At 32.8% G+C, this 10,436-nt stretch overlaps 1 annotated feature.

The window, feature by feature from the left end:
* Nucleotides 4,144-4,645: an enhancer, noted in NCBI's record as "NANOG hESC enhancer chr7:13279910-13280411 (GRCh37/hg19 assembly coordinates)". NCBI's record gives its function as "activates a minimal SCP1, AML or CMV promoter by ChIP-STARR-seq in primed H9 embryonic stem cells {active_cell/tissue: H9 hESC(primed)}" and the evidence as "EXISTENCE:reporter gene assay evidence [ECO:0000049][PMID:30033119]".

Genomic DNA, 10,436 nt, shown 5'->3' with positions numbered 1-10,436 from the left:
ATGAATTAAGCCCAGAGAAAAATGTATGAAATATATGTACCCAAAATAATAATTCTATTAAGTATCTTTAGTTACTTACATGCTAATTACCAGTGTCTTGTTCAGAGAAGCTCTTGCCACAAAGAAAATATGGCCTGCAGTTTAGCAAGAGCAGTTTCATAAGCATGAATGAGAATATTTTTAAGAATAAAATCAATTCAATACTTTTTTATACCTTGAGATTTACTTTAAAGTCTTCTAATCAAATGAACTTCTACTTAGTGTTGAATATATTTTATAGAGTGTTTGTACTACTCTACCCATTTTCTAATGATAATATTTATAGTTAAAAGGAAATGCTCTAATATTTAGATGAGGTAACTGAGGCACAGACATGTTAAGCAAATTGGCAAAGGTCACAAAGGCTGATGATAGTTGTTTTCCAGTTTGAATGACATAGCTAGAATATGTGGAGCTGTATTTTATTGCTGTGTAATTGTAAAAAAGGGGGAGTCAAGAAACACTGTAAAATAAATTTTAGATAAACTAATTTACAGAATTATTCATATAGATGCACTATGGAAATAAAAGGTCTATTTTAAATACAATTTTAACTGGAGAAATAAGGATGTAAAAGTCAGTTTTTCACTCTAAAATACTAACTGGTCATATATTGGATTACTCATTACTGAAAAGTGGCACTCTCTTCCACAGGTTGAGAAAATTGTTGGTCCAAGAGACCATACCCAGCCAGAAGCCCCTTCTCTTCCAGATCATGCTCCAGGTACCATGGACCCTTGAGCTCTTTTCCCAAATGCACTTTAGCTTACTTTCAAGTTTTGTGCAAATTCCTTTTTCTGGTCTGTCCTCGAGAAGATCAATTGCTGCCAGTGTGTTACCTTTAGATCCACTGGATAGCCAAGAGATTTGCAACTGATTGTGAGGTGTATGGATGAAATTTAGACATGTGGGTTGGGTTGTCCAAATGCATGCACAATAGGCTGCCTGTATGCCTCAGGGAAGGGAGAGTAGGCCTTAGTGTGGGGACTTGGATTTATACTTGCTTGGGCTTTTCAAATGTGAGTGCTCACAAATATATCTTATTTTAGTTTCTAGAGAAGACTACATATCCAAAACAATAGAGTGAAAACTCTAACTCAGCGGTGACAAATATCACCATCTTAGTTTGTTCAGGCTGCTATAACAAAATATCATAGACTGGGAAGCTCCTCAACAACAGAAATTTACTTCTCACAATTCTTGAGTCTAGAGAAGACCAAGATCAAGGTGCCAGCAGGTTTGGTATCCTGCAAGGGCCCATTTCCTGATTCATAAATGGCATCTTTGGCTATGTCCTTACCTGGTGAAAGGAACAAACAAGCTTCCTCAGAGCCTCTATTATAAGGGCACTAATTCCATTCGTGGGCGTTCCACTTTCATGATGTAATCACTTTCCAAAGTCCCCACCTCGCAATACTATCACATTGGTTATCAGGTTTCAGTACATGAATTTTGGATGGATACAAACATTCAGACCTTAACATCTTCTGATGATCCTAATTAGCAATTTTTAAATATATTAACACTGCTTTTATGTTCAAAGCTTATAAATCCATTTCAAAAGATCATAAAGTTCTAATAGGAGCTGTTATGTTACCATAATGCTAATACGTTTTATATATATTTTAAAATCTATCTTTAATCACCCTTTTGCTCCTAAAGCTTTTTTCTTCCTAGTTAAGTATTTAAAAGGCAACTGAATGTTCTAAGAGTGTCTCGGTATTTACTGGACAGAACCATATTTATTGATATAAGAAGCTTCCTAGGCTAGCCTCTTCTTCTTCTAGAGAAGCTTTTAAGTTGATATTGTCTATTTCTTTCCCTCTCCAATTTTTGATGAGGTTTGTGCTATTGCAAGATGGTTTCTGTACATTAGGAAAACAGGGGGAGGGGGAGAAAATAAGATGTGATCTAGAGCTTGAGCAAGAGATTCCAGAAGTTTAGAGGGGGAAAGACTATGTGTGTTGTGGAGAGTAACAAAGCAAAGAAAAATCATTGTTGTTTTTTCCCAAGATATATTTTGGTTGATTATAGCTTCCTTTCCTGATATATGAGAAAAACATGTAAAAAATCTTGAAAATTAATATTTGACACAGTAAATATTACATGATTATATATTATATATATTTTAATAACAGTGCTGTGAAAGTTCTTGTGGCCTTGGCTTTAATGGAGTTGCATTTTGTTGTTGCTGTTCAAAAACTAACTTGAATTATTGGTTATCAGTTTGAAAATAGCCACATAAGCTATTCAAGCTATGGCCCAGAGAAAATGCAAGACATTAAAGATGAGTTTAAAACTTAGCATGATGAACTACATAAATAACTAAGCTTAGTACTGACCATGAGAAAGCCACCTCCGAAAACTATCGTATGAAGTTTCAGGGAAGAAGAGGTCCATTCCATTTGGAAAGATAACAAAAAGGTTTTATTGTACATTTTAGAATAGATCATCATTAATGGGAAAATGAAGGATGGCAATATCACCCAATCTAAGTTACACAGGCCATTTTAAGACAGGACAAAGTATTTTGGCTGGAATATAGGGTACATATTGAGATAATGGTAGATGGGTAATGAAAAGTAGGTTGAAATCAAACATGAATAGCTTTAGATGTAAGGCTTAGGAGACAACTTCATATAGCAGATAATGGACACTTTTGAACATGAGAAAAATATAATTAAAGTGATATTTAAGAAGCATTTGGTAGTGGTGTCCAGGATGGTTGTTGATTGTAGCCATAAATGCTGGCGGTTTGTTCATAAGACATGTGTCTCATGTTCATATATGTCTATTGCAATGTCTGACCTTTGACAATGTACAACCATAACTTTCCCCATAACCTCCTAAAATTTTCAGATTACTTTGAGGAAAGCCACATAATATAATGCTAGGACACCGATTTTAAACCTTGTACAATTTCCTTAATTTCAACTTTCTTCTATCTCTATGACCTTAATATTTTGTATCACAGATTTTTATAAATAATTTAATATATTAAATACTTGGTATAGCTCCTGATAGAGCATACACAAGTAAAAAATATTAATTTATTGTTACATTTTAAATTTAAAAATATATTTAGTAGGACATAATCTATAAGAAACTTCAATTCAAAAATAGTAACCACATAAATATAGTTCATTACAGAAATAAAGATCAGTTATAATGAGAACTTACTGCTTATCAGTAAGAATTCCTCCCCTGCAGGGGTGAATGAATACTTTGACAAATTGAAGACTTTATCAGTCAAAAAACCTGAGGAAACTTATCTTTCTTATCTTCTGAAAGGCCGCTATAAATAATGTATCACTTGCAACACAGGTTTTCTTACAGGATGCAAAATAATCTCTAAGAAAATCTTTGCTTTTGTGGAATTCTGTCAGAGAATTCCTGATATAGGGATCTCTTTCAGTTATTACCTGTTAGTTTATTCACCAGAGAGGAGGAATATTTGGAAATCCATGTCATCTCATCAAAATAACTGATACTAAAAGTAATAACTTCTCTGCAACAGTGGGGTGGTCCAAATTTGTTGCTCAAACTGCCGCAAAACATACCTTCGCAAGATGCAGGCAAAAATCAAACAGATAAAATGCCACAGTTCACATTTTAGATAAAGGAAGAAATATTAAACAGTCCAGAACAGAGTTTTGATATACCATATAGCAATGTATTGTCAGTACGAATATCAGTATAAGAGATTCTGACAATTAATCTAGCAGTAAACTTAGTGAAATATAAAACTAAAAATATATTTTGTAGAAATAAGGTGATGTAATAATTTCCATCTCCAGCCTGCTACAAACACATAAATGTTAGTATAATGGCTGTCAAAGCTTCAAAATGATTTTTATTATTATCCATACTACCAATCCTTAGTCATTTTAGTTATGACCTCCAACTATCATGGTAATTAATCTTTTTAGCATGATACCCTATTTTCACTACCCTACTTACCAGAGTTCTTTTTGGACAATTAACCTTGTATTAGATGAAAGTGCTCATCAGAGACACACACCTTCCATCATCTATTATATCTGCAGTGATTAATTATTTTAATTTTAGATTAGAAATTCTGTTTCAGTCAGGGTTATTAGCAGCTGCAACAAAAAACGATTCAGGCTATTTAAAGTTTAAAAGGAAATTACTCAAAGACTATGAGGTATCTCATAGAGCAGCCCAGAAATTTTCAGGAGAAACAGTCTTGGTTTTCTGACCTGTGACTTACAGAGCTAGGCAATCAGAACCAAGCCATAATTATGCCTCAGTAACAGTATGGTGAGGTCTGAGGTCATTGCCACTGCCAACACTGGGAGTGAAGTACTCCTGCTGACACCATCAATGCAACCAAGAGGAATTCTTTACTATGACTCATTACCCTCCTGTGAGAGATTCTCGTCCTGGGTAGGAAGGTCAAGATTGAATTCCTAGGCATATGCCTGTTTCCCACTATCATAGAAGTAGGTTAGAAAAAATAAAGCATATGGATGCTTCAGCTTCCGCAATGGAAACTGAGCCCTGTCCCTTGGCAAGACTCATAGAGAGAGGGATTGCTCCAACATAGGGAAGATCAGTCAAAAAGGCAAAGAAATGCAAAGCAGGGTCATCAGTCAAATTACAATGTTTATGACTATACAATTTACAACATTATTATGTTTTACTTCTTTTAAATCATAAAAATCTTACTAGGTGAAATATTTTTCAAAATATTTAGTTATAGAGCAATGATTGTTGACTAAAAATATCTTGGCATCCAAGTGCTCATTTTTTGCTGTTCTTTTTGTTTCTTTTGAAAAATTAGTAACATTTCTGGCCATATAGAGTACTTGTTTGTCAATCTAATGATCTAAAATATTATATCTTATAGTCTTCCCTTTGGAAATAGAAAACATAATAACAGAAATGACAGTTATTTGTGTCTTTAAATGCCACCTCTCAACAGACAAGATATTCTTTAACAGCTAGAGATTTGGGAGGGGGTGAACTGAAGGCCAAATTTATATAATATATGCCTTATGTTTAGTATAATCAGGCCTATTAGAATAACCATAAATAAAAATTTGGAAACTCCGAGTGAGGTAAGAATGTGACCCAGGGACCTATTCTGCTGTCATCAACAATCCCCACTGGCACTTTAAAATTAAGCAATAATATTGAGGTACTTGTTCGAATGTCAACGAAATGTGCTTTTATTTATCACATTAAAAAACATTTAATAAATCTTAATACTAAGTGTTACAGGGAATGTTGGGAAATTAGACAGTTTTATGTCCTTAGAAGTGTTTAAACTGATAAAATACTTCGGATGCAATAGGCATTATATTAAAACTGCTATGCACTTTGAACCAGCAATGTCACCTATCAAATTTATTTAAAAAAAAAATCAATGAGAGAAACACATGTAATTGAACAAGAATGTTCTATGTTGTATAATTTCTGCTAAGAGAAAATACAAACTAAATGTCCAAAAATGTGGAACATTGTAAAAAAATTATGATGTATCTGACTAGAGATGCATATTAAGATATTAAAAACTATAATTTCTAAGGATTTTTAAGGATTTTGGAAAATTTATGATATAGTACTGTTTTTGTTTGTTTGTTTGTTTTTGAGTCAGAGTTTTACTCTGTCACCCAGGATGGAATGCAGTGGCAGGACATTGGCTCACTGCAACCTCTGCCTCCCAGGCAAGCAATTCTCCTGCCTCAGCCTCTTGAGTAGCTGGGATTATAGGCATGCACCACCACGCCTGACTAATTTTTGTATTTTTAGTAGAGACAGGGTTTCACCATGTTAGCCAGGCTGGACTCGAACTCCTGACCTCAAGCAATCCGCCCCCCTCGGCCTCCCAAAGTGCTGGGATTACAGGCATGAGCCACAGCGCCTGGACAGTACTAAGGTTTTTTTTATTTTAATTTTCACTTTTTTTAAAGATATCAACTTAATTCAACAGATTTCTATTGAAAACCTACAATGTGTCACTCGAGCTATTCTAATTGCTAAGGATATAACAGTGAACTACATAAACATGCTTGTTTCTACAAAACAAATGTCTAGATAACAAAAATTAAGACTTCCTATTAAGGATATTGAACACTAAAAAGCTGTCATAAATTTTAAAAGACCTTTTAAAATATAAAATTAATTTCTGATTTTCGTGGTTCAGCAGAATTAATCTAGGAATAACAATGTTCTCTTCCACACAATTTCATATAGGTGCAAAGTGAAAAGTGTCACAGGTTTAGTAAGAAGGAACAAGATTTTATAACACTGTTTTATTAGAAACAATTTTTCTCTTTCTAATAGATCATTAGCTCAAATTACACTAAAGCATATGGCTCGAAAAGAGTATTTTATCACTCACATGGATATTTTTTGTTTCTTTGAAGTCATTTTGCAAGATATATTGAATATCAGGAGCAGTCCACATTGATCTGAGAGCTGCAATGCATCACTCAGTACATTAATCTTGGCTAATAATGTGTCCTGCTTGCAGCCAGGACCACACCAACACCTGGTCATGCACCTGGTCACAAAATCCTGAAAATCGTTATCCAGAAGGTACCAGTCTGTGTGTATTTTCTATTTTAAAGTGATTAGAGACAACCATTTTAAAAAGATGATTGTATTTTAGTCATTATTTCCAGCTGTATTGAGTTTCAAAAAGTGTTATTGAGCTAATTGATTTTGAGTTGTGTGAAGATGTTTTTAAATGCTGCATACAAATTAATACAACTTAACTGATATATTTGTATAGTTACAAATACACAGATATGTCTTTATTTTCTTCTGGAAAAATATATGTGAGCCAATTTCACCCAAGAGGCATTACAGTGAAGTGGTTAAAAGCACTCAGGACCTTCATGTACAGCTTTGCAGGTTGTATATTGCTCAGCTTCCAAGAATTGTGCCAGTGTGGCCTTGAGACCTCTGGCTCTAAAGGAGAAGAGCCAGTGGGTCTAAATTCTAGCTATGATACATTTAGATTTTATGAACTTGGATTAGGAAACTAATTCTTTGCTGCTTCTTTTTCTTTTAAAAATATGATTAGTAATATCAACTCCTTCATTAGAATGTGAGGGGAGAGTTGATTAAATTAGTAAGAATATAGCATTTAGACACATTCTTGGAATATGGTAAGCAAAAAAGGTGAGCAATTTTTATTTTGCTAATAATCTTTTTAAAAATTTATGAAAAATTGTCAAAGTTATAATTATGGGTCTCAAATGAATAACTTTCTTAGGCCTCACTCCATCATTGCAACTGACTTATTGTAGAATTAGACTTAAATAATTTACCTCTTGGATATCAAACTTTCCATATCCAGAAAATAACATAGTTAAAATGATGTAGTATCTCAAATAATATGTTCAGTTGAGGGTATAAATGCAAACTGCAATTATGAATCTCATGTGATTTATGGGAAAAAACGGTTGCTAGTAAATATAAATACCTTGTTTAGGCAGCATTTTATTTATGGAAAATAACAAGCAAATGCCCGTTAGAATAAAAGCAGAGCACTATCTTTTGCCAGTGACAGTACAATGTGGTGACTTCAACATGGAAACAATATGGTTAATCTCCTGGTACATTTCTCTGATATTATGAAAAAATTGTGTTTTTGTCTAAAGTGCCCAAATAAAGCCCAAGGAGTAAATGTAATGTGGTAATCAGTCACTTAAAAAATTGATACTGCAAAAATAAAATAAAAATGTGGATATAATTAAGGGTCAGAATAGGGCACATTTTGAAGAGTTTATTTAACAAATCATTAAAGGACATTTTTATAAGTATAGTCTCAAGTAGCTCTTACCTCTATGGTTTTTAAAGGGTTAAAGAAAAATAGAAGACACTAATAGTTGTGAATGTATTATATGATATAAAGCAAGTTGTTTTCTGATATTATATACATATATATTTATAATTTTAATTCAAAAATGTTTACTGCCATGCTAGATTCATGATGTAAAATAATATTTGTAACAGATATATCCTAATCAATAAGACTGTAGTAGTTTAATTTTCAACATTAGTTCAGCCACTGGTCAAAGGCTCTTTAAGCTTTGCTCTGTACAGACTCCATTCACTGAGCAATAGATAACCGCTTTCCATGAAAACAACAAATTTCATTTGGAGGTAGATATCAAGGTAGCATTTATTCTTTTATTTATTATACATCTACTGAGTGCCTTCTATGTTCTAGAACTGATGTTATAAACATTGATATATACTGCTTTTTCTTTAACCAAGTAGATTTTAGTTTGGAGGGGAGAAAGATGTGGAAATTTGTATACTATGAGAGCAGGTTTTAATGTAGGGACAAAATAACAGAGAAGAAAGAATAACTTACATAAGCCTGGAGGAATCAAGGAGTAATGGAGACTGGAGACTTTTGAGTTAGTCCTTATTTTAGGAACCACCTAAAATACACTTCTAGTGTATGCTTATGCCCGACTGAGAACAGAAGTCATAGGCATGGCAGCAGCTTCTAGAAACTGTAGGAACACCAGTACAATTACTTTATCTACCAAGAAAGATTGATGACTCCTTCCAGTTCCCTTCACTGAGTATTGAGAACTAAGCACCATCCTTCTAAGGGGCTTTGCATGTAGTCATTAATTTTGTTCTATTTATGTGAGAATCTGCTTTAAGACTGTGTCAGGGGTAAGCAAGAATTTCCACATAGATGCGTCCATTCACTCTAAAAATACCTCAGACCAGTACCCAGGGGATAACCCAAGGCAAGAAGCACTTATTTTTTAGCACTGTGTGCCAAACAGTACAAACATTATCTTCTGCTACACAAATTACTTTTCAGTATGCTAAGGATAAAAATTACAAGCAACAGGCACTTATTTCTCTTTTTAATACTAGGAAAATACTTTAAATTTTTGCTGCTTAGAATTAATCACATCTAATCAATCACTAAATATACTAGCAGATAAAAAAATATTTGCAGACAGAATCAATTTGTGGTCCTATTTAGCATTAGGTGACTGGATATAAGGGAAAAAATCTTGAAACAAATATGTGAATGGAAAAAGTATGTTCTTGATAAAATAACTGCTAGGATGCTACTAAATTGTGTAAAAAAAAAAAAAACAAATAACATCTGATATCATCACATTTTCCCTTTTCCATGCAACAGTCTTATACTATGTAATTATAATTTCTTCAATCTCTGATGCAGCTTGATGTTCTGAACCAGCTCATAGTGCTTCCTATTCACGTACACAAACATTTACATATTGACCTAAATCCTCTCCCAGGCTGTTCAAAAAGGAAAAAGAAAAAGCTTTCTTTTTTTTTTTTTTCCCTTGGTCCCTGATCTCATTTTCCCAGATGGTATTAAAATTGAGTTCAAGCCAGCCTAGCACCTGTGTGGATAGTTTTTTTCCTCTTTGCACAATTTATTTTTAAATTTTCTTATAACAGATCTGTTATTTAAGAAGTATTTATACAAATAAAGAAAAATTATGTAAAAAATAAATGAAATAACTTAAAAAAACACATTTTAGTTTTTCTCTCTGCCTAAATTTTTTTTTGAAGAGCAATGAAAATAAACAAATGATTACATTATTCTGTTAAAGGAGGATTATACTATAACATCTTATGGCTGCTTAATTATGTAACTGGATAGTATATCATTCAGTAAGATTGAGTTCTGGAATCTAAATTATAGCAATGATTTTGAATTTTGATTTATTTCTACTATATACATGTTCCCTGTCATCAAAGAGAACTTTCATCTATTTGGTAAACAGTGGACACTCAGGAAGTACGTTTTGAATGAATTGAAAAGCATGAATGAGTTAATTAAGTAATACATAAACCATGAGGATTTTTAAGGACTTTCTTTTTCCTATGTACCACATCTTGAAATAGGTCTTCAGTCACTTTCTATGGACAAGGAGGATGCAGTAACAACTATGCTATCATTTTTTTGAAGGAGAGCAATAGTAAAAAATTAGAAGGCAATCTTCTTCATATGACAAGTACTTGTTAGAGAAAGTAACTCTCAGGTATCTAACAAATATTTAAAATATTGAAAAGAAATAAAGCAAGACGTAAAGAGAGAATACCCATGAGAGACTTTCATAAATAAAATATAATAGGAACGTTTGTGAAAAAAAAGGCTGAAAAATTAAGTCCAAATATCGATATGAATATAATTAAAATGTTAAAAGGTTTATATTTATTTATTATAAAAAATTAAAAGTAATGAGGAAATAATTCTTGGATAATAACAAATTGGACCTCTGAAATGAATAAGAGGCATAGGAGAAAAAAAGCCCTAGCTAATCACATTTCACAGTGGAAAGAAAAATGAATACATAAATACATCACACTTTCATCTAGAAATTTTGTAATCCCATTTTCATAAGACATTGAGA

This window comes from Homo sapiens, chromosome 7 (genome assembly GCF_000001405.40).
Source record: "Homo sapiens chromosome 7, GRCh38.p14 Primary Assembly".
NCBI classification, from domain to species: domain Eukaryota; kingdom Metazoa; phylum Chordata; class Mammalia; order Primates; family Hominidae; genus Homo; species Homo sapiens.
Note: the sequence above shows the minus strand (reverse complement) of the source record. Positions and strands in the feature narration are given on the sequence as shown.